At 36.9% G+C, this 27323-nt stretch overlaps 1 long non-coding RNA gene across 1 annotated transcript; it reads right to left on the bottom strand.

Annotated features, from left to right (window-relative positions):
- Positions 1 to 9609: 9609 nt before the first annotated feature.
- On the bottom strand, positions 9610 to 20899 carry LINC02025 (long intergenic non-protein coding RNA 2025). Its single transcript, NR_147147.1, has 4 exons — positions 20885 to 20899; positions 17866 to 18045; positions 10024 to 10057; positions 9610 to 9747 (listed from the first exon to the last, which is right to left on the bottom strand). It is a non-coding gene; the product is annotated as a long intergenic non-protein coding RNA 2025 (long non-coding RNA).
- Positions 20900 to 27323: the final 6424 nt, after the last annotated feature.

Below are 27323 nucleotides of genomic sequence, written 5' to 3'. Positions count from 1 at the left end.
TACATCTTCCTCTTCTACTGGAATACTGCCTGATACATTTTGATGAGTGAAATAGTCACTAAATGAATGAATATATTGATTATAAATATTTAAATCCAGCATATTTTACTTAACTTTGCTCTAGAAACAGTTAACAATATCATTAAAAATCCTTGCAAAATTTTTCCCAGGGGCTTCCTATGAATATATCATAATTTCCCTTACAGTCTATTGGCAAGAAACATTATTTGGCTTCTAATTTGATTTTATTATAATAGTACTGTGGTTAATATTTTTATCCCTGCATGAAATCCTGAATCTCTAAATATTTTTATTTGGAATCTGTTAATAAAGGATACATTTTAGGTCAAAGGATCTACATGCACATACATACACACTCCACACATACATAAAAAATTCCAAAGATATCACATATATGTTATTGTACTACAAATATTTCATGTCATGTATACACAAGAGGGCATTCAATCTTTTTATGTAAGTATTATCTGGAACAACTTATATTTTCATGTATGATTTAACATCTTAACCAATGTCCTTTTAAAACTATAGTGCATGATCATAAAATTCTTTAGTAGAGATTAACTGTGATTTTGGGCATTTTAATTAATTTATTTCCTCTAGAGATTTATTCACCTACAAGATAAGAATGACAATAATAATGCTTATTTCATGGTTTTGTTTCTATGATTAAATGTGTTAACTGATCTAAGGTGCTTAGCATAGTGACTGAAACATAATATTAGTTTTATTAATCAAGGGTTGAATATTTGAAATAGTAGTTTTAATAAACATGGGATAATAGTCTCGTATTTGTCCATTTTCATTCTGCTTATAAAGACATACCTGAGACTGGGAAATTTACAAAAGAAAGAGGTTTAATTGGACTTATAGTTCCACGTGGCTGGAGAAGGTCTCACAATCATGGTGGAGGATGAAAAGCACTTCTTACATGGCAGTGGCAAGAGAGAATGAGAAGGAGGCAAAGTGGAAACTGATAATAAACCCATCAGATCTTGTGAGACTTATTCACTATCACAAGAATAGCATGGGAAAGACCGGCCCCCATGACTCAATAACCTCCCACTGCGACCCTCCCACAACACATGGGAATTCTGGGAGATACGATACATGTTGAGATTTGGGCAGGGACAGAACCAAACCATATCATTCCACCACAGCCCCTCCCAAATCTCATGTCCTCACATTTCAATGCCAATCATGCCTTCCTGACAGTTCCCCAAAGTCTCATCTGAGACAATGCAAGTCCCTTCTGCCTATGAGTCTGTAAAATCAAAAGCAAGTTAGTTACTTCCTAGATACAATATGGGTACAGGCATTTCATAAATACAGCCATTCCAAATGGGAAAATTGGCCAAAACAAAGGGGCTACAGGCCTCATGCAAGTATGAAATACAGCAGGGCAGTCAAATTTTAGAGTTCCAGAATGATGTCCTTTGACTCCATGTCTTGCATCCAGGTCACGCTGCTGATGCAAGAGGTGGATTCCCATGGCCTTGGGCAACTCCACCCCTGTGGCTTTGCAGAGTTCAGCCTCTCTCTCAGCTGCTTTCACGGCTGGGCATTGAGTGTCTGTGGCTTTTCCAGGTGCACAGTGCAAGCTGTGGGTGGCTCTACCAATCTGGGTTCTGGAGGATGGTTGCCCTCTTCTCACAGCTCCACTAGGCAGTCCCCCATTAGGGACTCTGTGTGGGGGCTCTGACACCACATTTCCCTTCTGCTGCCCTAGCAGGGGTTCCACATGAGGGCCCTGCCCCTGCAGCAAACTTTTATTTGGGCATCTAGGTGCTTCCATACATCTTCTGAAATCTAGGAGGAAGTTCCCAAACCTCAATTCTTGACTTCTGCGCACTCACAGGCTCAGCACCACGGGGAAGCTGCCGAGGCTTGGGTCTTGCACCCTCTGAAGCCATGGCCTAAGCTCTGTGTTGACCCCTTTCAGCCATGGCTGGAGTGGCTGGGACACAGGGCACCAAGTCCCTAGGTTGCACACAGCACAGGGACCCTTGGTCCAGCCCACAAAACCACTTTTTCCTCCTGGGCCTTCAGGCCTGTGATGGGAGGGGCTGCTGCAAAGGTCTCTGACATGGCCTGGAGACATTTCTCCCATAGTCTTAGGGATTAACATTCGGCTCCTTGCTACTTAGGCAAATTTCTGCAGCCAGCTTAAATTTCTCCCCAGAAAATGGGTTTTTCTTTTCTACTTCATTGTCAGGGTGCAATTTTTTTGAACTTTAATGCTCTGTATCCTTTTTAAAACAGAATGCTTTTAACAACACCCAAGTCATCTCTTGAATGCTTTGCTGCTTAGAAATTTCTTGCACCAGGTACCCTAAACTGGTATCTTTTGTGCCCTAACTGGCACAATACAGGGATGCCCTCTCTGAACACTCCTATTCAACATAGTGTTGGAAGTTCTGGCCAGGGCAATCAGGCAGGAGAAAGAAATAAAGGGTATTCAATTAGGAAAAGAGGAAGACATATTGTCCCTGTTTGCAGATGACATGATTGTATATTTAGAAAACCCCATCATCTAGGCCAAAAATCTCCTTAAGCTGATAAGCAATTTCAGCAAAGTCTCGGGATACAAAATCAATGTTCAAAATTCAGAAGCATTCCTATACACCAATAACAGACAAACAAAGAGCAAAATCATGAGGGAACTCCCATTCACAATTACTACAAAGAGAATAAAATACCCAGGAATCCAAATTACAAGGGATGTGAAGGACCTCTTAAGGGAGAACTACAAACCACTGCTCAATGAAATAAAAGAGGACAAAAATAAATTAAATAAAATTTCATGCTTATGGATAGGAAGAATCAATATCATGAAAATGGCCATACTGCCCAAAGTAATTTACAGATTCAATGCTATCCCCATCAAGCTACCAATGACTTTCTTCACAGAATTGGAAAAAAACACTTTAAAGTTCATATGCAACCAAAAAAGAGCCCACATTGCCAAGACAATCCTAAGCCAAAAGAACAAAGCTGGAGGCATCACGCTACCTGACTTCAAACTATACTGCAAGCCTACAGTAACCAAAACAGCACAGTACTGGTACCAAAACAGATATATAGAACAATAGAACAGAACAGAGGCCTCAGAAATAACACCACACATCTACAACCATCTGATCTTTGACAAACCTGACAAAAGCAAGAAATGGGGAAAGGATTCCATATTAAATAAATGGTGCTGGGGGAACTGGCCAACTATATGTAGAAAGCTGACACTGGATCCCTTCCTTACAGGGTATACAAAAAGTAAGTCAAGATGGATTAAAGACTTAAATGTTAGACCTAAAACCATAAAAACCCTAGAAGAAAACCTAGGCAATACCATTCAGGACATAGGCATGGGGAAAGACTTCATGTCTAAAACACCAAAAGCAATGGCAACAAAAGCCAAAATAGACAAATGGGATCTAATTAAACTAAAGAGCTTCTGCACAGCAAAATAAACTATCATCAGAGTGAACAGGCAACCTACAGAATAGGAGAAAATTTTTGCAATCTACCCATCTGACAAATGGCTAATATCCAGAATCTACAAAGAACTCAAACAAATTTACAAAAAACAAACAAACAAACAAACAAAAAACAATTCCATCAAAAAGTGGCAAAGGATATGAACAGACATTTCTCAAAAGAAGATATTTATGCAGACAACAGACATATGAAAAATGTTCATCATTACTAGTCATCAAAGAAATGCAAATCAAAACCACAATGAGATACCATCTCATTCCAGTTAGAATGGCGATCATTAAAAAGTCAGGAAACAACAGATGTTGGAGAGGATGTGGAGAAACAGGAGCGGTTTTACCCTGTTCTTGTGAGTGTAAACTAGTTCAACCATTGTGGAAGATAGTGCGGTGGTTCCTCAGGATCTAGAACTAGAAATACCATTTGACCCACCAATCCCATTACTGTGCATATACCCAAAGGATTATAAATCATTCTACAATAAAGACACATGCACACATAAGTTTATTGCAGCACTATTCACAATAGCAAAGACTTGGAACCAACCCAAATGTCCATCAATGATAGACTGGATTAAGAAAATGTGGTACAAATACATCATGGAATACTATGCAGCCATAAAAAAGGATTAGTTCATGTCCTTTTCAGGGACGTGGATGAAGCTGGAAACTATCATTCTAAGCAAACTATCACAAGGACAGAAAACCAAACCTCATATGTTCTCACTCATAAGTGGGTTTTGAACAATGAGAACACATGGACACAGGGCGGGGAACATCACACACCAGGGCCAGTCAGGGGTGGAGGCCTGGGGGAAGGATAGCATTAGGAGAATTACCTAATGTAAATGACAAGTTGATGGGTGCAGCAAACCAAAGTGGCACATGTATACCTATGTAACAAACATCCACATTGTGCACATGTACCCTAGAACTTAAAATATAATAAAAAATTTAAAAAATAAAAAAAACAAAGACAGTGAGATATAAGAAAAAAACAAATACATAATACAAAGATGTCAGGGAAACACTTGATTATCTGAATAAGTAATTCAAGAAAGAGATAGATGTGATAAAATAATAACCACACAGAAATCCTGGAACTGAAGAATTCAATGAATGAAATAAAAATATAATCCAGAGCTTCAACAATGAACCAGATCAAGCAGGAGAAAGGACTTCTGAATTTGAAATAACTCAGCAGAAAAACAAAGAAACAAACAAAAGCATTCAGGAAAAAAATAATAACAAAAGCCTATGTGACTTGTGAGACACCATAAAATGACCAAATATTTGAATTTAGGGAATTCCAGAAGGAGAAGAGATTGGCAAAAGCATAGCAAACCTATTTCATAAAATAATAGCTGAAAACTTCCTAAATCTTTTAAGAGATTGTAGACATCCAGCTATAGAATTAAAAACAGCAAAATGTCAAGTCACCTATAAGAAAATCGCTAATAAAGTACCAACAGATTTATCAGCAGAAAACTTACAGTGCAGGAGAAAATGGAATGCTGTATTTCAAAGTGCTGAAAGAAAAAAAAAATTGTCAATCAAGAATACCATACACAGAAAAGCTATCCTTCAAAAATAAAGGAGAAATAAAATCTTTACCAGACAATAATAAAAAAGAGGGAATTCATCACCTCTAAAACAACCATACAAGAAATTCATAAGGAATTCCTACATCTGGAAGCCAAACCACAAATCTACCATCATGAAAAAAGGAGAAAATATAAAACTCATTGGTAGAGCAGACACACAAATGAGAAAGAGAAAGGTGTCAAAAGTTACCACTACAGAAAACCACCAAACTGCAGTTATTTTCACAGAATTAGAAAAAACAATCCTGCAATACATATGATACCATAAAATACCCTTAGTAGCCAAAGTAATTCTGCCAAAAATGAACAACATTGGAGGCATAACACTATGTAACTTCATATTACAAAGCCATGGTAACCAAAATAGTATAGTGCTGGCCAAAAAACAAACAAAAACAAAACAAAACAAAACAAAAAAAAAACCAGATACATAGACCAATGGATTAGAAAGAGCACCCAGAAATAAATCCACACATTTACAGACAATGCATTTTCAGCAAAGGAGCCAAGAATATACATTGGGAAAAGGACTGTGTCTTCAATAAATGGTACAGGGAAAATTGGATATCCATATGCAGAAGAATAAAACAAGTCCCTTGTAGGGAGACCCCCCTGAAACTATTGCTACGGAGTGGAAGATGAAATGCTCCTGATTATTTTAAGTACAAAATTGTATGCAAGATTGTGTAAAGACAATGCCAGGTTGGACTGCCAGAATGAGCCAACAGCGTATGATGTGCTTTCCCCTGAAAAGAGCCTATGAATGAACATGCAGTCGGGGAGGTTTCACATCACCAAGATTCCTATCCCAGAAAAGCAGATATTCATAGCTCTGGGAATGGAATGAGACCCTTGTGGAGAGCCTATAAATGGATGCATGAGGGGTGCCTGTTCATATGGATAAGATAGGGCTATAAATGCCATCATCTTGCCACAGCTCTTCTAGGCCTCCTTAGGGTTAAGGCATACACCCTTCTGAGAATTTCTGGTCTAACCCGTTGTCTAGCTTTATGTCCTGTTTCTATGGATTGTTTGTAACCAGCTTTTGCTGCACTGTTACTGCTGATTAATATCTTGCTAATCATAGGTTATGGAAAGACTGTGTTTCTGTTTTAAGGCTCTGTTAGAAATTACTGATGCACACGCTCTATTGTAAATTCTTATCTCTGTATACTGTACTTCTGCATACAGATGTTATGTTAAAGAATTACTTCATCCCCATGTGACCATTTCACCTCATAATCAAACAACACTAAATCCCTCACTAACTTACCCCCGCCCTCACTAAACTTAATAATAAATGCTGGCATATCCAGTGCATTGGCAGCATCACGGGACCAGAAGACGATGACACCCCTGGACCCAGTTTTCACTATTTTGTGTGTGTCTTTTATTTCTCGACCTGCTGATCCACCTGGGAACAAAGAAAGAGTCCCGTTGCATTGCGGGCTGCTGGCCAGATCCCACAATAGTCCCTTATCTCTCACTATATGCAAAAATCAACTCAAAATATCAGACCTCAAACCATGAAACTACTGGAAGAAAACTGTGGAAAAACACTTCAGAACATTGATCTGGGTGAAGATGTTTTTTAGTAAGATCTCAAAAACAGAGTCAACTGAAAAAAATAAGCAAATTAAAAAGGTTCTTCATATCAAAAGTGACAGTCAGCAGAGGAAAGAGACAACTTGTTGAATGGGTGAAAGTATTTGCAAGCTATCCATTCAATAAGGGACTAATATCCAAAATATACAAAGAATAGAGACAATTGAATAGAAAAAAAAATTCCAAAAATTGGACAAAGCCCATGTGAATACACATTTTTCAGAAGATGTACAAATGGCCAAAATATATATAAAAAAATGCTCAGTATCACTAACCATCATGGAAATGCAAAACAAAACCCTAATGAGATATCATCTCTCTCCAGTTAAAATGACTATTACCAAAAAGACAGACAATAGCAAATGTTGCCAAGAATATCAAGTAAAGGGAACTCATACATTGTTGGTGAGAATGAGAATTAGTACAGACATTATGAAGAAAAGTTTGGAGGTTTCTCAAAAAACTAAAAGTAAACAATTATATCTTCCAGCAATCTCAGTACTGGGTATTTCTCCAAAGGAACAGAATTAGTAAATCAAAAGGTTACCTGTACCTCCATATTTATTGCAGCATTATTCACAATAGCCAAGGTATAGAATCAACTTATGTCCATTACCAGTTAAATGGATAAATAAAATGTGGCATATGTGCACAATTACATACTATTCAGCCATTAAAAAGAATAAAATCCAATCATTTGCCACAATATGAATGGAACTGGAAGTCATATTATTAAGTGAGTTAACCCAGGTACAGAAAGACAAATATCATATATTCTCACTCATGTATATAGGAGCTAAATATTTGATCCCATGGAAGTGGAGTAGAAGAGCTTCCAGTGGCTGAGTAGGGCCAGGGAGAATGAAGAGCGGGTACATAATGTGCACAAACATACAACCAGACAGAGGGAATATGTTCTAGTGTTCAAAAGTACAGTACTGTGACTATAGTTAACAACAATTTATTTTATATTTCAATATAGCTAGAAGAGAAAATTTGAATTTTTCTCAACCCAAATATATGGTAAATGCTTGAGGTGATGGATATCCTACATACCCTAGTTTGCTCATTACACATTGTATACATGTATCAAAATGTCATTGTATTCCATAAGTATGTACAATCATGTATCAATTAAAATTTTTTTAAATTAGATTGGCCAAAAAGATAATAACAGGAGAAAAACAGACAAAAGTTTATTAACACATACATTGTGCATATACATGAGGACATTCAGTGATGAGTAACTTCATGGCATGGTTAGAACTTGAGCTTATATAGCATTTTAGCAGAGAACAATAATTTGTACAAAAATGACAAGAAAAAGAAGATGACTTGGAGCTTCTAGATGTGGCAAATTGTGGGAAGGTAAATATTTTGGAGAGCCAATGTTAGACAAGGGCTGGTTAGTAAGGTTTGTTAAATAGATTCCTCTATATAATCCTCTGTATGCCATCTTTTGGCTGATAAGCATCTAGAGTTGCCTCTAGCGATTAACTTCATCTTTCCTGGTAGAGAGTGATGAGAAGATACCTTTACAAATTTATGTATTGCTTTTGGCACAAAGGGGAAGGCAGAAAAGTTTTTTCTGTATCAGCTTCATCTTAATTGCCTGTAGCTCAAAATAAATCTTATGCCAAAGTAGTGTATTTTGGGGTGCCATATTCTGTTACATTTTACACGCGAATAAACATAAAATTTGTGTTTATTTTCAAATATGTATTCTAGGCTAGCTACATTGCATAGTACAGTGCTTTGTAGGTACTAAATGTGCAATAAATAGGTATTGAGTAAATGAATGCATAATATTTTATTATTTCTCTATTTAATCTCTACTTCTGCCCCATCTGTAGAAAGAGAATGTTCCTTTATTTGACATGAAATAATACAATTTGGGTTAGCAAGCATTGAAACCTGTGCATTTTCAACACATCTATAATGGGTCAATCAATATTGTAAAATGGAGAGCCTGAATTTGAAAGCTCAGTCATATCATCTGTGAGTGGGGTGAACTCTTAACTTTTTCAACTTCAGTAAAATTGTGATGTTATGGTTATATTTGTCTGACAAGATTAGTGTGAAGATTAAATGAGATAGTGTAGTTAAGCAGCCCTTGCTAAATGATAAACATGTACTAACTTTAACTGCTATTGAAAAAGTAATAATAGGAGATAAAACTTTCAAATCAAGTACTCATAATAGCATGAAGATTCTTCAAAATGGAGGAGAGTGAAAAGTTCAGGAAGAATCTATAATGTCTAAAAATGAAGGCTACTTTAACATGTTATGACAGTTTTATAAAGGGAATGTAATTGAGGCATTACAAAGAATGAGGCAGATATTTTCATACCAATATAGAAGTATTCTGAAGGCAAATTAAGTGAAAAAAATGAAACAGAATTGTATGTGTGATATATGATCTTTTTTGAGATGGATTTATGTCTGTTTGTAAATATATGTTTACTTGTGTATGCATGTTTTGAAGAATATTTAAGCAATTGATTTTATATATATATAAAATATATTTCATTCTGGGCAAAAATGTGGTTGGTTAGAAAAGGAGGAAGAATAATAATTTCTTTTACTATATATTTTGAACGTGTACACTGTTGTCTAGTGGTTAGCTACACATAAGGCTGAATAACAAACCACTCCTAAATTTAATGGCTTAAATCAATGATCATTTATTCTATTTCAGGTACCTCTGGTTTGGCTGCAGTTCAATTGATCTAAGCTGGGCAGAGTTAGGCTTGAGTCCAAGATTCAGGTTGGGTTTAAGTATATTCCCCGTGTTTTTTTTTTTTATTTTTCGTAGACAGCCAGGCTAGCCAGCACATTATCTGCCTGTGGTGATGCCAGAAACATGAATCAATACCTCATCGTGCCAGTAAGCTTCAGGTGTTTGCTTGTGTCACACCAGTAAATATTTATTTGATTAAAGCAAGTGACATGACAAAGCCTAAAATTTCAGAGATTTAATCTACTCACCATAACATAAAATAAAGTTACATGGCCAAAATCAGCACCTGTTGGGAGGAGAAATGTAGTTCTACTCTCAATCACGTGGAGGAGGAAATGATTAGTATCCTAAGCAATCATTCACCATATTTATGACTGCATTACCTATTCAAAATATATGTAAAGGAGAATCCACAAGAAAACAAAACAAAAGGGGTGGAAAAGTGTGCATCTATAGGTTAAGCACAAGAAAGATAATACACCTAATGACAGCAGTATCAGAATAAAGATTCATTATGTAGTTTTTCCAGAGATGAGGAAAGCATATTATTTAACAAACTCACCATATATGGACATTATCCAAGTATCGAGGATAATCTAAAGAGAAAATTAAAAAAGAAGGGATGTTAACTTTGAAGATCCACTGTTTTCTTCCTCTGATCTTACAGAGAAAATTAACTCTCACTAATACACAGCTACAGAATGATTTTTGTCCTTATTTCTTTAGCATATCATTTATCATGTAAACCATTTTCAGCCTGTTTTTTGTACGGAGTTCATTTATTTATTTCATGTTTCTATAGTTGGACATGTTCTAATGTCCAAATTTGCATTTGTTTATTCCTGTTCTGTTTGCAATTAAAAACAAAGTAAGAGCAATAGAGACCTCTGTAGTTTTCAGACAATTTTGTGTTATTTTTCTTCCACTGTGTATTTATTAGTCTTTATTAAAGATTAAACAAATGATGGATTCATTTCAAAAGTACCTTGATTTTCAGTATTTTAAAGTTTATATATTAGAATTAAAAAATCAGTCAATTACATCAATGCCGTTATAGTATTTACCATCAGTCTGGGAAATTTGTTTTTCCTGAAGGGAGTTTGAACAAATTTTCTCCTGAAAGCATGTTATGCTGAAGGAGCTCTCTCCTCTGTAGCAACTCTATCAGAGGGGACAGAAAATTACTTTGTTTAAAGATCCAGAATAGGACACATGATGCTAATCTTTGCTCTACCTTGACCAAGTCGCTTAGGTTATCTTTACTGCAGCCTTGTCTGCTAAATGAAGATAAGAAACTTTCTGTCCCTTCCTTAATTTTATATAAAATTATTTTTTAAATGTGGTACCTCCAGAAGGGAGTCCATATGGCAACCACTTTACCACAGTAGATGACCCAGATTTAAAGCATTAAATAGATAAGTAGAAGAGAAAAGGTAAACCATGCTACCCATGGTGCAGCACAAATTTGTTGGCAAAATCTGGTGGCCATATGGACTTCTGTAAAGCTGTCAAAAGTCTAAGTAGAAGATAAGAAAGAGCCACTATGCCCATGATACAGGCACAAATCATTCAAAACCTGTTTGACCACATACGCAGAAAGGACTAAATAATAAATGAACTATCTTTTGGAGTTTGAATACACTAGATCCAATTTAAAAAATACACTAGATTCAATACACTAGATCCAATCTGTAGTCCCTCAATATATCTGCCTATTCCCGTATCAGCCAACAAGAGGAAAATAGTCACCCGCAATGGAAATTTACAAGAGGGATGTATCAAATACAAATTTTATCAGAGAGAGTTCAGAGGCAAGGAAGATTTTATTCAAGACTATTGCAATAGAGAGGAGAGATTGAACTCAACTCTGTGGAAACAAAAGACAGGAGGGTTTTAAGCAATAGGTGATCTGGTAGAAAAATACTGGAAAATTTTAATGGGAGGTTGATCAATGTGTTTAGGCTGTGTTTGCTAATTATACTTTATTGAAATTAGGTTCCTACCCTCCTACTGAGACTAGGAGATGGGTATTATCTTTCTTGATCATTGCGTTTCAAAGGAATGGCTTGACGAAAGTCCTTCAGAAAGACATTTCTGTGTTGTAAAATTGTCAAGAGTCTGGGAGAAGATTTACATTTCAAAGAAGCAGAGGTAGAATTAATAATTACAAGTTTTGTGAAGTAGATGCTCTAAAAAAGCAGATCAGGGACCTATAATCAGGAACAAAAAAAACCCCTCTACAAAGTTCAGACAAGCTAAAGAGAATATTAAGGCTGCTTTGGTCAGATGATAGGGTTAGTTTGATTAATAAAACAGGATGGAAGAAATCAAGGAAGACTGAGGGTAAAGAATGGAATTAACTCATTTGATTATTTATTTATTAATTTTATTTGTTATTATACTTTAAGATCTAGGGTACATGTGCACAATGTGCAAGTTTGATACATAGGTATACATGTGCCATGTTGGTTTGCTGCACCCATCAACTCATCATTTACATTAGGGATTTCTCCTAATGCTATCCCTCCCCCAGGCCCCCATCCCCCAACAGGCCCTGGTGAGTGATGTTCCCCGCCCTGTGTCCAAGTGATCTCATTGTTCAATTCCCACCTATGAGTGAGAACATGCGGTGTTTGGTTTTCTGTCCTTGTGATAGTTTACTGAGAGTGATGGTTTCCAGCTTCATCCATGTCCCTACATAGGACATGCACTTATCCTTTTTTATGGCTGCATAGTATTCCGTGGTGTATATGTGCCACATTTTCTTAATCCAGTCTATCATTCATGGACATTTGGGTTGGTTCCAAGTCTTTGCTGTTGTGAATAGTGCTGCAATAAACATACATGTGCATGTGTCTTTCTAGTAGCATCATTTATAATCCCTGGGGTATACCCAGTAATGGGATTACTCAGTCAAATGGTAATTCTAGTTCTAGTTCTTTGAGGAATTGCCACACTGTCTTCCACAATGGTTGAACTAATTTACACTCCCACTGACAGTGTAAAAGCATTCCTATTTCTCCACATCCTCTCTAGCATCTGCTGTTTCCTGACTTTTTAATGATTGTCATTCTAACTGGCATGAGATGGTATCTCATTGTGGATTTGATTTGCATTTCTCTGATGACCAGTGGTGATGAGCATTTTTTCATGTGTCTGTTGGCATCATAGATGTCTTCTTTTGAGAAGTGTCTGTTCATATCATTTGCCTACTATTTGATGGGATTGTTTGTTTTTTTCTTGTAAAAATTTCTTTGAGTTCTTTGTGGATTCTGGATATTAGCCATTTGTCAGATGGGTAGATTGCAAAAATTTTCTCCCATTCTGTTGGTTGCCTGTTCACTGTGATGATAGTTTCTTTTACTGTGCAGAAGCTCTTTAGTTTAATTAGATCCCATTTGTCTATTTTGGCTTTTGTTGCCATTGCTTTTGGTGTTCTAGACATGAAGTCCTTCCCCATGCCTATGTCCTGAATGGTATTGCCTAGGTTTTCTTCTAGGGTTTTTATGGTTTTAGGTCTAACATTTAAGTCTTTAATCCATCTTGACTTAATTTTTGTATAAGGTGTAAGGAAGGGATCCAGTTTCAGTTTTCTACATATAGCTAGCCAGTTTTCCCAGCACCACTTATTAAATAGGGAATCCTTTCCCCATTTCTTGTTTTTGTCAGGTTTGTCAAAGATCAGATGGTTGTAGATGTGTGGTGTTATTTCTGAGGCCGCTGTTCTGTTCTATTGTTCTATATATCTGTTTTGGTACCAGTACCATACAGTTTTGGTTACTATAGCATTGTAGTATAGTTTAAAGTCAGGTAGTGTGATGCCTCCAGCTTTGTTCTTTTGGCTTAGGATTGTCTTGGCAATGCAGGCTACTTTTTGGTTACATATGAACTTTAAAGTAGTTTTTTCCAATTCTGTGAAGAAAGTCATTGGTGGCTTGATGGGGATGGCATTGGATATATAAATTACTTTGGGCAGTATGGCCATTTTCACGATATTGATTCTTCCTAGCCATGAGCATGGAATATTCTTCCATTTGTTTGTGTCCTCTTTTATTTCATAGAGCAGTGGTTTGTAGTTCTCCTTGAAGAGGTCCTTCACATCCCTTGTAAGTTGGATTCCTAGGTATTTTTTTCTCTTTGAAGCAATTGTGAATGGGAGTTTACTCATGATTTGGCTCTCTGTTTGTCTGTTATTCATGTATAGGAATGCTTGTGATTTTTGCACTTGATTTTGTATCCTGAGACTTTGCTGAAGTTGCTTATCAGCTTAAGGATATTTTGGGCTGAGATGATGGGGTTTTCTAAGGATACAATCATGTCATCTGCAAACAGGGACAATTTGACTTCCTGTTTTCCTAATTGAATACCTTTGTTTCTTTCTCTTGCCTGATTGCCCTGGCTAGAAATGCCAACACTATGTTGAATAGGAGTGGTGAGAGAGGGCATCCTTGTCTTGTGCCGGTTTTCAAAGGGAATGCTTCCACTTGTTGCCCATTCAATATGATATTGGCTGTGGGTTTGTCATAAATAGCTCTTCTTATTTTGAGATACATTGCATCAATACCTAGTTTATTGAGAGTTTTTAACATGAAGGGCTGTTGAATTTTGTCGAAGGCCTTTTCTGCATCTGTTGAGATTATCATGTGGTTTCTGTCATTGGGCCTGTTTATGTGATGGATTACATTTATTGATTTGTGTATGTTGAACCAGCCTTGCATCCGATGGATGAAGCCGACTTCATCGTATTGGATAAGCTTTTTGATGCACTGCTGGATTTGGTTTGCCAGTATTTTATTAAGGATTTTCGCACTGATGTTCATCAGGGATATTGGTCCAAAATTCTCTTTTTTGTTGTGTCTCTGCCAGGCTTTGGTCTCAGGATGATGTTGGCCTCGTAACATAAGTTAGGGAGGATTCCCTCTTTTTCTATTAATTGGAATAGTTTCAGAAGGCATGGTACCAGCTCCTCTTTATACCTCTGGTAGAATCGGCTGTTAATCTGTCTGTTCCTGGACTTTTTTTGGTTGTTAGGCTATTAATTATTGCCTCTATTTCAGAGCCTGTTATTGGTCTATTCAGAGACTCAACTTCTTCCTGGTTTAGTCTTGGGAGGGTGTATGTGTCCAGGAATTTCTCCATTTCTTCTAGATTTTCTAGTTTATTTGCATGGAAGTGTTTATAGTATTCTCTCACGGTAGTTTGTATTTCTGTGGGATTAGTGGTGATATCCTCTTTATCATTTTTTATTGTGTCTATTGATTCTTCCCTCTTTTCTTCTTTATTAGTCTTGCTAGCACTCTATCTATTTTGTTGATCTTTTCAAAAAACCAGCTCCTGGTTTCCTTGATTTTTTGAAGGATTTTTATGTCTCTATCTCTTTTAGTTCTGCTCTGATCTTAGTTATTTCTTGCCTTCTGCTAGCTTTTGAATTTGTTTGCTCTTGCTTCTATACTTCTTTTAATTGTGATGTTAAGTTGTCAATTTTAGATCCTTCCTGCTTTCTCTTGTGGGCATTTAGTGCTATAAATTTCCCTTGACACTCTGCTTTAAATGTGTCCCAGATATTTTGGTACGTTGTGTCTTTGTTCTCATTGGTTTCAAAGAACATCCTTATTTCTGCCTTCATTTCATTATTTACTCAGTATTCTTTTAGGAGCAACTTGTTCAGTTTCCATGTAGTTGTGTGGTTTTGAGAGATTTTATTAATCCTGAGTTCTAATTTGATTGCACTGTGGTGTGAGAGACAGTTTGTTGTGGTTTCTGTTCTTTTATATTTGCTGAGGAGTGCTTTACTTCCAATTGTGTGGTCAGTTTTAGAATATGTGTGATGTGGTGCTGAGAAGAATGAATATTCTGTTGATTTGTGGTGGAGCGTTCTGTAGATGTCTATTAGGTCTGCTTGTTGCAGAGCTGAGTTCAGGTCCTGGATATCCTTGTTAACCTTTTGTCTTGTTTATCTGTCTAATATGGACAGTGGGGTGTTAAAGTCTCCCATTATTATTGTGTGGGAGTCTCAGTCTCTTTGTAGGTCTCTAAGGACTTGCTTTATGAATCTGGGTGCTCCTGTATTGGGTTCATATATATTTAGGATAGTTAGCTCTTCTTGTTGAATTAATCACTTTACCATTATGTAATGGCCTTCTTTGTCTCTTTTGATCTTTGTTGGTCTAAAGTCTGTTTTATCAGAGACTAGGATTGCAACCTCTGCTTTTTTTGCTTTCCATTTGCTTGGTAAATCTTCCTCCATCTCTTTATTTTGAGGCTATGTGCATCTTTGCACGTGAGATTGTTCTCCTGAATATAGCACACTGATGGGTCTTGACTCCTTATCCAATTTCCCAGTCTGTGTCTTTTAATTGGGGGCATTTAGCCCATTTACATTTAAGGTTAATAATATTATGTGTGAATTTTATACTATCATTATGATGTTTGCTGGTTATTTTGCCTGTTAATTGATGCAGTTTCTTCCTAGCATTGGTGGTCTTTACAATTTGGCATGTTTTTGCAGTGGCTGGTACTGGTTGTTTCTTTCCATGTTTAGTGCTTCCTTCTGGAGCCCTTTTAAGGCACGCCTGGTGGTGACAGAATCTCTCAGTATTTGCTTACCTTTAAAGGATTTTATTTTCCTTCACTTATGAAGCTTAGTCTGGCTGGATATGAAATTATGGGTTGAAAATTCTTTTCTTTAAGGATGTTGAATATTGGCCCCCCCTCTCTTCTGGCTTGTAGGGTTTCTCCTGATAGAGCCCCTGTTAGTCTGATGGGCTTCCCTTTGTGGGTAACTCGACCTTTCTCTCTGGTTGCTCTTAACACTTTTTCCTTCATTTCCACCTTGTTGAATCTGACAATCATGTCTTGGCATTGACCTTTTCGAGGAGTATCTTTGTGGTGTTCTGTGTATTTCCTGAATTTGAATGTTGGCCTAGGTTAGGGAATGTAGCTAGGTTAGGGAAGTTCTTCTGGACAATATCCTGAAGAGTGTTCTCCAACTTGGTTCCATTCTCCCCATTGTTTTCATGTACACCACTCAAACGTAGATTTGGTCTTTTCCCATAGTCCCATACTTCTTGGAGGCTTTGTTTGTTTCTTTTCACTTTTTTTCTCTAACCTTGTTTTCTCACTTTATTTCATAAATTTGATCTTCAATCACTGATACCCTTTCTTCCACTTGATCGAATTGGCTATTGCAGCTTGTGCATGTGTCACGAAGTTCTCGTGCCATTGTTTTCAGCTCCATCAGGTCATTTAAGGTCTTCTCTACACTGTTTATAGTACTTAGCCATTCATCTAATCTTTTTTCAAGGTTTTTAGCTTCCTTGCAATGGGTTCAAACATCCTCCTTTGGCTCAGAGAAGTTTGTTATTACTGACCTTCTGAAGCCTACTTCTGTCAACTCTTCAAAGTCATTCTCTGTCCAGCTTTGTTCCGTTGCTGGTGAGGAGCTGCAATCCTTTGGAGGAGAATAAGTGCTCTGCTTTTTAGAATTTTCAGCTTTTCTGCTCTGGTTTCTCCCCATCTTTGTGGTTTTTATCTACCTTTGGTCTTTGATGTTGATGACCTACACTGTCACAAAGGTGTTTTGTTGTAGATGTCCTTTTTGTAGATGTTGATGCTATTCCTTTCTGTTTGTTAGTTTTCCTTCTAACAGTCAGGTCCCTCAGCTGCAGGTCCCTCAGCTGCAGGTCTGTTGGAGTTTACTGGAGTTCCACTCCAGACCCTGTTTGCCAGGGTATCACCAGTGGAGGCTGCCCAACAGCAAATATTGCAGAACAGTAAATATTGCTGCCTGATCCTTCCTCTGGAAGCTTTGTCCCAGAGAGGCAGCTGCCTATATGAGGTGTCTGTCCGCTCCAACTGGCAGGTGTCTCCCAGTTTGGCTGCACGGGGCTCAGGGACCCACTTGAGGCAGCAGTCTGTCTGTCCTCAGAGCTCAAACGCCCTGCTGGGAGAATGACTACTCTCTTCAGAGCTGTCAGACAGGGACGTTTAAGTCTGCAGAAGTTGCCTGCTTTTCTGTTCTGCTATGCCCTGCCCGCAGAGGTGGAGTGTAGAGGTAGTTGGCCTTGTTGAGCTGCAGTGGGTTCTGCCCAGTTCGACCTTCCAGCTGCTTTGTTTACCTACTCAAGCCTTGGCAATGGCATATGCTCCTCCCCCTGCCAGGCTGCCACCTCGCAGATTGAACTCAGCCTGCTGTACTAGCAGTGAGCAAGACTCCGTGAGTGCGGAACCTGCTAAGCCAGGAACTGGAGAGAATCACCTCGTCTGTCGGTTGCTAAGACTTTGGGAAAAGCATCGTATTTGGGCGAGAGTGCCCCGTTTTTCCAGGTAGTCTGTCACAGCTTCCCTTTGCTAGGAAAGGGAAATCCCCTGACCCCTTGTGCTTCCCTGCCCTGCTTCGGCTCACCCTTTGTGGGCTGCACCCACTGTCCAACCAGTCCCAATGAGATGAACCAAGTACCCCAGTTGGAAATGCAGAAATCACCTTTCTTCTGCATTGATCACGCTGGGAGCTGTAGACTGGAGCTGTTCCTGTTTGGCCATCTTGAAACACCCAGCAAAACTCATCTGGTTTTTGAAATTCATTCTGTGAAATAAAATTACTCAAAGCTTAATTTGCTATATGCATGTGTCATGCATTATAAAATACAATTTGTTAAAGGAGAAGTGGTTCTCGTCTTCTGGGACTTTACTTAGTAAAAAATGTGACACATGTAAACACACACACACCCCATACTCCCTTATAACTTTAAAACCAGGTAAAACTGAATAAGAATTCTCCCACAAAATGATATAGAAGCAAAAGGAATAATGGTTTTCAAGATGACTTCATGAGGGTGGGTAGATTTTGTATAAAACTGATTTGAATTTGGTGGTAAAAATGTAGGTTAGAGTTTCCAAAAGAACTAAATTACCTTCTACAAATATTTTTGACAATAAAATTTTTAAAAGAAAAATTTTGAATGCAATTTTAAAAATTAAGTGTCTATGCCAGGCAAGGTGGCTCATGCCTGTAATCCCAGCACTCTGGGAGGCCAAGGCGGGTGGATCAACTCTGTTCGGGAGTTTGAGACCAGCCTGACCAACATAGAGAAACCCTGTCTCTACCAAAAATACAAAATTAGCCAGATGTGATGGCACATGCCTGTAATCCCAGCTACTCAGGATGCTGAGGCAGGAGAATCACTTGATCCCAGGAGGCGGAGGTTGCAGTGAGCCGAGATCAGGCCATTGCATTCCAGACTGGGCAACAAGAGCAAAACTCTGTCTCAAAAAAAAAAAAAAGAAAAAGTGTCTGTGAGGAAAATTTACTTTAGTATCATCTTTTGATTTATTTATTTTTAAAAATTCCTTGGAGTACCACATGTGTTATGCATCTGTTATCCATTGTAGATTCAAAGATAAATACTACACTATCCCCTCAAAGTACTCATAGGTGCAAGTGATAACAGTCAAAATGAACAAAAAATTACAAGAGAAAATGGTAAAAATCATAAGTAGTAACACATAAAAGGGGAGATCAAATGCCTTTGTATTACAGAAAGCTTCAAAGAAGTTAAAGCATTGAGAGGAGGACAAAAGTGATTTTGTAGCACTGTGCTGACAAAGCAAACTAGCTAAGGATGAAATTCTGTTACTTCTCCATCCTAACCCATTCTGTGGCTTTCCATCATATTTAAATTTTTAAAAATTAATTTTGTTGGTCTGCAAGTTGTCTATTTCTCCAACGTCCTACTATAACTCTTTGCTTCCATGCTACAAATTTCAAATTCACTGGCCTGCCCTCAGTTTCTAGAATGTGTCAAACATATGCCCCTGTCTGCTTTCTACACAGCTGGATTTATCTCATCCCTCCTCTCACCTGATTCATATCATAATCCCATAGGTATCTTTCCAGAACATCCTACCCAGGTATCTCCATCACTCGTTATTCTCAGTAACAACAAAGTAACTTCTCTGTTCAACTTATCATTTACTTTTATTTTAGAATTTTAACCATTAATTATTCCTTCTTCTGAAAGAGGACAGTAAAGAAATTTCACGAATAAATAAATATACAGCTATGTCTGGTGCCCACAGGGGAAACAAAAATAGGAAGCAAAGTATTAAATATAGTATAGTAACATTTGTGCTTATATTTGTAAAAAACAAAACAAAACAAAACAAAACTGGAAGGCCAAAATGAAAACTAATAAAAACGTTTGTTTATACAGGTGGCAGGGAACAGAGGGAGAGGATAAGAATGAAAGTGAGATGTTTCTGAGCATATGTTGTTATTAATTCTGACTTAAGACACGCAAGATTTGTATATATTAAAAATAAATTACATAAAAGTGCAAGTCTTAAAAATTCAGATCAAACTAAAACAAATGAACATATCAAGTTGGTGATTAACCACACAGGCAAAAATTAATAATTTCAACATGATTCAGAACATAGTATTGTGGCAGTACATCCTTAAAGGGGATAGGTACAAAGGAAACCTAAGGCAAACCTTTATTCAGCTTTATTGCTCTAGTTAGGACACCACTATGGTTGTTTAAATGTTATTTTATGTGTTGTAGAATAAAGTAAATAAAAGTTTGTATTTTTAAAATTTTTCTTGTAGGAGAAAGGAGTTAAAATTATAAAATTTTAAAAAGTTAAGGAAAAACTATAATATTGAATTTAATGTTAAGTATAAACTCATAGTTTTTGTTGCTGTTGTTGTTAAAAAATTTTCCCCATCTCTGTCCACTGAAAATGCCTAGAAGCAATGACAACTCAGTAGCTCTGAGCACTCACCTGTACACATCATGTTCTCTAAATATTATTTCTTACTAAAAGTAATTAGGGCTGCTTGGAAAAATAACTTGTTCTGGGTCTAGGGCAGGATATGTACAAAAAGATTGTGGAATAGTTTTCTGTGCTAGAAGTCAAGAAAGCTATCATAAGCTAATGTTGTTATGCCGAAAAATCACAGTGACAACTCTAAGGGGATCTTGATGCCAAAGATGTAATCATTTAAGAATAAAAAATAATAATTGTAATTAATTTTAATAATCATAAGTGGTAACTATTAATTACATATTTTATATCCACGTAGCTAAAAATAATTTTCAAAAATATAAAAAACTGAAAACGGTAAATCTTTTTATCATTGAGGATAGTGAGTACATTAGTTACTTTACTCAGAAGATCAGTAATGAAGAAAAAACATTAAATGTTTTCTTCTTTTTTTCTCTAAGAAGTGTATTTTAACTGACAGAATAACCTTGTTTGATAAAAAATTCTTTTTTATATGTGAATTCAAGTTAATATTAATACATATATTGGAAACACAGAAAGTCACCATTTTGCCACCACTACTTAATGATTATATTAAGCAAGAATAATAAACTACTTAAGAAAAACATTTTTTTAAAAAGTTGATAGGGGGTGCTTACTCTCAAAGATCATAAGTTTCAGCCCAAGGATTATTTACTGATTTCAAGATGTAAACCAACACCAACCAACCAACAATGAGTTCACAATGGAGGGAACAAGCTGCCACTTCCTGAAATAACTGGTCAATCACTAATAATGTGACAGCCAGACACTATGTGTCTCATTGTGATGCAACATGCTACCTAGAAGACCACTTCAAAAATGATTCTTCCAGAATGCTAATGTAAATCTAATCAGCCTTTAGAATTTAAAGGCTTAAAAAAGACTAAAGAAAAGTAACAACCAAATGCAATATGTAGAACTTATATGGAGCCTGATTCGAACATCAAGTATAAAGAGATATTTTTGAGAAAATTGAGAAATTTTAAAACATGAAATTAGTATTATATGATATTGAAGACTGCTGCTTTTTCAAGACATGTCCTCAAATTTATTTTACATTCCTTCCATACTAACTCTTCTCCTTGCATGTAGACAGACTTGTGGCTGCTTTCAATGACTTCTGAAATTAGGTCATTAAAAGTCATACATTCTTTGGCTAGTAATCTTGGGTTACTCACTCATGAGAGGCCAAGCTTTATCTAGGAAGTTCAACTACTCGAGACTGTCATGCTGGTGAGTATACACGTAGACACTCCATTCAACAGCCCAGATCATCCCACCTAAAGCAGGGTGCATATAAGTCAGTCTTGAATAATCTAGACTGGCTCATCACCAGGTGAGTACCATTGAGTAACCATAGAGAGCAAAAGAATCACTTAGTGGAGCACTGCCCAAATTTCTGACCCAGAGATTCATGAACATAACATGGCATTTGTTTCATAAGTATGAAATGGATGTTTTAATGGATAATAGATGACTGGAAAAATTAATTGTAAAATTTTTTGTAGGTGGGTAATGGTATTAGAGTTAGGAGAATGTATTTATTTGTGAGAAATACAAATAATGTATTTAGGAGTAAAATAATGCCTGGGATTTGTATGAAGCATATATGATTAAATAATTATAATTGTTGGATCTATGTAATGTGTATAGAATAATTTATTGTATTCTACTCTACTCTTTTTTTGTGTGAAGAGTTTCTTTTTTGTTGTTTGAAGGACTCACAGGGACATGAGTAAAGATTTCTGTTAGAAAATTAAAGTGAGTAGGGGAAGACTATGGCTTCTTGTAATTTTAATCCAAATCCTAGAAGAAAGCAAGAATTAACATAGGATTTGAAAAAAAGTTAAAAGATAGATTTGGGAAGAATAAAAGGTAGACTGAAAACTAGGAGATCAAAGAACCTTGACAGATATGATAAAATCACTTTGTACTGTAAATCTCTGTTTTATGTGGTGGTACCTCCCACCACTTTGTAAAATCATTTTGGGCAAGGACATTATCTTCACCTTTGTACTCCTAGAGGCCAGCATATTGCCTGGCATAATTTGGACACTCAGTAAATGTTACATAAAGGAAAAATAATGTTGGTGGAAATTGGAATTTTAGAAACTGTACATATTAGTTCAAAACCTCAATACTGAATCTATAGGGGAAGATCTACCGTGTGTAAATGTCTGTATTCAGGGCTCTGAGCACTGGCTTGTTGGCGTGGATACTATGGAGATTCCGGATATGGCATTCAAACTGTACAATGTGTAACTGGAAAGGAGAAATAGAGAGAGAAATAAACATGGGAAATTAAAGTAACCTCAGCTCTCATTTAAAACAAATACAAATATATTTAAGCATATAATAGCTTCTCAGCATGTTTTAAAAAAACAAATATTAAGAGATCATTTTAGCTCTCAGAATAAACATTGAAAGATGAATCATGATAATTATAGTCATCAACATTGACAATACCATTATTTATTGAATATCAGATGCTTTATAATCATTGTTGCTAAAATATACAACATCTTCTGTAAGGGGAAGTATTATTATTTTTATTTTACAGATAAGGAAATTAAAAGTCAGAGATTTAAGCATCTTGTGAAAAATATCACATGCAATAAATAGGTCTGAAATGTGATAGAACTACAGAGCTAACAACAATTAGCAAAAACCAAGTTAATATTATCTCTATTTCTCCATGAGAAAAATGAGATACAGAATCATGCAGTTTATAAGTGGCTAGGATATGAGGTCTGCCTAATTTGCAAATACTTGCCAATAAAGTCTAATGTGTAACCCTTTCTGTGTTACCAGATTGAAAGATACTAATTTAAATATACAGGCTCATAGTTGTAAATATTTATGAAAAAATCCTAGGAAAAGTGTGTCAGAGGAACTGATAGTACTTTCATACAAGGAAAAATAAAGGTTGTATAATGTAACGTGAAAGATGTTGGCTTTCCTGAACCTGCTATGGTAATAGCTGAAATTAATTTCTCAAAACTGCAAAATTTGGTAGAGCTTTTTGGAGGTTAAGAATGTCCCTATGAGAACAAGAGGAAATTAAAAAATATAAGAAAGATAATCAAGGGTAGAGAATCCCTTCTCACCTTTCCAGATGTCACAAAGTGGTGGTTCATGTTTAAAAAATGATATAAAGAAAATTCCCCAGGGAAGGAAGCAAGCCAACAGATTTAAAGAGCAAAATAGCTGCAGAAATGTTTAAAGGAGTACACAGACAGAAAACCATGGTGAAGACTTGGAAGTAGAAATCTATACAGAAATAACAGGTCTGTAAAGATAGTCAGAGTGATGAGAGAAGAGAGGATGCCAGACAAAAGTAAAAGCACTTCCCACAGACACCTGAGGTTCCACAAGGAAATTAGACAGAATAAAAAGCAAAAAAGGCGCAGGTTAAGTTGGCACTGAAGAAAAACAATGGCAACACTTGTGTTGTCTGAATAATGAAAGTGATATTTATAAAATAACTTGAGAAACAAGAAAGGAGAAGGAATCTGAGCTGATGCAGGGTGCCAACAAAAGAATAAGGAAGTGATTTATTGGAAACGATCACAGCTCTAGTAGTTAGGAACTCAAAGAAGAAAGTGCTTTAATGACATATTGCAGTCAAATTAAGCACATTCTTAGATATTAATTATGAAAATATTTGAAAATACTCATTACAATGGAATCTCTAGTTGGTTATTTTTTAAGAATTGAAAGATGTGTTTTAAAAGTTGGAAATCTATGAAAGTAGACATTGATTTCAAGATTTGTTGAAGCGGAGCATAGAAGACATGTGATAGGTGTTGTGGCAGGAGGGAAAAAATCTGTTGGCTTAGGAAGGCTAAAGAGACAGCATGCTGAAGTAGGAAAGTGGGAAGAACATTAATTTTATTTCAATGAAGCAAATGTTTGATCAGAAAAACAACAACACAAACAGTTTCTCTTCAAGACCATCTGTCTGAACATTGTTGAAATATGTGAAGACATTTCCCATCACCACCATCCGCAGCCCATACTCAGTGGTGGGAGAGAGTGTGTGAAGACTGTATACTTCGAGGTGCTGGATAAATAAGACAAAACTGCTTTTCCAGCTTCTCTGTGTGTGTATGATCTGAAAACTCTTTCTAAGAAGTTATTTTTTTATTATTATTATTTTGAGATAGGGTGTTTCTTTGTCACTCAGGCTGGAAGGCAGTGGTGCGACCCCCCAGGCTCAAGCAATCCTCATGCCTCAGCCTGTCGAGAAGCTGGGACTACAGATGCATGCCACAATACCTGGCTTTATTTATTTATTTATTTATTTATTTATTTATTTAGTTAGTTAGTTAGTTAGTTTTGAGATGGAGTCTCTCTCTGTCACCCAGGCTGGAGTGCAGTGGCGCGATCTTGGCTCACTGCAACCTCTGCTCCTGGGTTCAGTGATTCTGCTGCCTCAGGCTCCTGAGTAGCTGGGACTACAGGCATGAGCCACCATGCCTGGCTAATTTTTGTATTTTTAGAAGAAACGGGGTTTCACCATATTGGCCAGGCTGGTCTCAAACTTGTAACCTCAAATAATCCGCCTATCTCAACCTCCCAAAATGCTGGTATTACAGGTGTGAGCCACTGTGCCCTGACTTACTTTTTATTTTATTTTATTTTTTACTTTTTAATTTAAAATTTTTTTAATTAATTAATTTTTAGAGACAGGGTCTTAATATGTTGCCCTGACTATTCTCAACTCCTGTCCTTAAGTGATCCTCCCACCTTGGCCTCCCAAACTGTTGAGATTACCGGTGTGAGCCATCATAAACAGAAATAATTTATTTACTTATTTATTTTATTTTATTTATTTTCTTTTTTAGAGACAAGTTCTTTCTATGTTGCCCAGGCTTCCTTCAAACTCCTGGGCTCAAGCCATCCTCCTGCCTCAGCCTCAGTACCTGGGACCACATGCACATGCCACCATGCCTGGCTAAAGACATTTTATAAGGAGATTCTTAGAAACTTTCAGGGAAGTAAAATACAAAAATGAAAACAGGATGCTAACACTGAGTGTGAAATCAATTTTATTTCATGCAGATGACACCACTCTTTGAATTACAGGAAGAGCACAAGGATGTACATAAATATAACTAATGTTCTCCAGAGACCTGAAGAAGAACAATTAAACAGATCAAAGCAGGAAAATCATAAACATGGGCACCAGATGCAAAAGTGGCACTATGACATGTGGAATTCAGAAACGAGCTCAAGGAGAATTATTGGAGTGCACTTTATAAAGGAGACAATTATGCAAAATAAAATAAAATATGGAAAAGGAAAAGAAAAATAAGTGAAGAAACTAAGGGGAAAGCTGGTATTGGAAAATAACACTAGGCTGACTGTACGGCTTCCAGCGACAGCTTTTGTACCTTATTTCTATACGCTCACCTCACAGGTATGTGGCACTTCTGGCACTGGATTTTTCAGATTCCACTGGAAAAGTAGGAAGGAGTTAAAAGAGGGCTCATATACCTGACTGAGGAAGAACTACACAATTTACTATTGTGTTTCCATGTTTCAAAGTGAACTGTAACAATACACTGCTTTGGGAAATAAACTTCAAATTTTACCAGCTCATGTGAAGGAATGAGGGAGTGGGAGTGCTTTACTGAAGATAAAATATTTTTGAAGTAAGAAAAGGGCAAATTATGAAAAGGATATAGTGAAGTACATGACAGTGCAGAGTATAAAGCCTAAGACTTAAAAAGGAAAACTAGGAAAGGTATCACACTTAGAAATATCAAAGGCGATCTATATGTATAAAATAGAAATTGATGATATTGAGGATGAAGATGTTAAAAAAGGTTTTTAAACATCTAAAGGAAGTAGTGGAACTGGGTCAAGGTAAAGATGTCTTTTTGGAATGAAGCAAACTTCTGGCTAAAACACATATAAAGTTCTACCCAAGAGAAATAGGTACTGAAGAGACCAATAAACACATATTCACTGAATATAAAAGGCTTGGGAGTCAGATGGCTCAGGTTATACAAATTATAGTCATAATAATGGCATATGCTTACATGTATGCATACGCATGCATGTAAATATACATATATATGTTAGCGAACTGCATACATCTTCTTTCACATATTGAATTAGCCCATTTTCATGCTGCTGATAAAGACACACCCGAGCCTGGACAATTTAAAAAAGAAAGAGGTTTAATTGGACTTCCAGTTCCACATGGCTGGGTAGGCCTTACAATCACAGCAGAAGGCAAGGAGGCGCAAGTCACGTGTTACGTGGATGGTGGCAGGCAAAAAGAGAGGGCTGGTGCAAAGAAACTACCGTTTTTAAAACTATCAGATCTCGTGAGACCCAATCACTATCATGAGAACAGCACAGGAAAGACCCACCCCTATAATTCAATCATCTCCCACCAGGTCCCTCCCAGAATGCATGGGAATTATGGGAGCTACAAGACGAGATTTGGGTGGGGACACAGGCCAAACCATATCACATGTGTTGCTTGGTGTTTACACTAATCCTTCAGACTGGAAAGATAGTTAGTTTAATTTTCATTTTGCAGATGAAAACACTGAGTTTCCAAGAAATGTATCAACATTTCTAAGAAACAAAATAGCTATAATCCTCCACCTCACCAGCTTTGCCTAGTGCAGACTTAGCCTACCTATTCCCCAGGGAAAAGTAAATCTGGGAGTGTATTAACCCAGTAATCACACCTGAGTGATACTCTGGGGTTGTGTGTGCCCACAAAGCTGCAGCTCTTTCCTCTAACCTTTCCTAGATTGATGAGTCTTTATTTAGGCCTCAATCCCAGCTGTAATTTTCTCTCCAGTTCTGTGATGAGCCTAGATCCTGCTTAGCTGGGTGTCTGCTCACTTATCTAGGCATGGATGGCTTCTTATTTTTTGAGGGCTGGATCTTGTGCCTGTCTACAAACTCTTGTTTGAGGTTCTCTTTAACGCACACAGAGTGCTTAGAACAAAAACAGTGGAACACAACAGACAAGGAATACTGCTGCTCACCCAGTACTCTGCATATTTTCATAGGGCCTACATTTGCCAT

This window comes from Homo sapiens, chromosome 3 (assembly GCF_000001405.40).
Source record: "Homo sapiens chromosome 3, GRCh38.p14 Primary Assembly".
In the NCBI taxonomy this organism is placed as follows: Eukaryota; Metazoa; Chordata; class Mammalia; order Primates; family Hominidae; genus Homo; species Homo sapiens.
The sequence above is the reverse complement of the archived record's forward strand: the minus strand, read 5'-3'. Positions and strand labels throughout refer to the sequence as shown.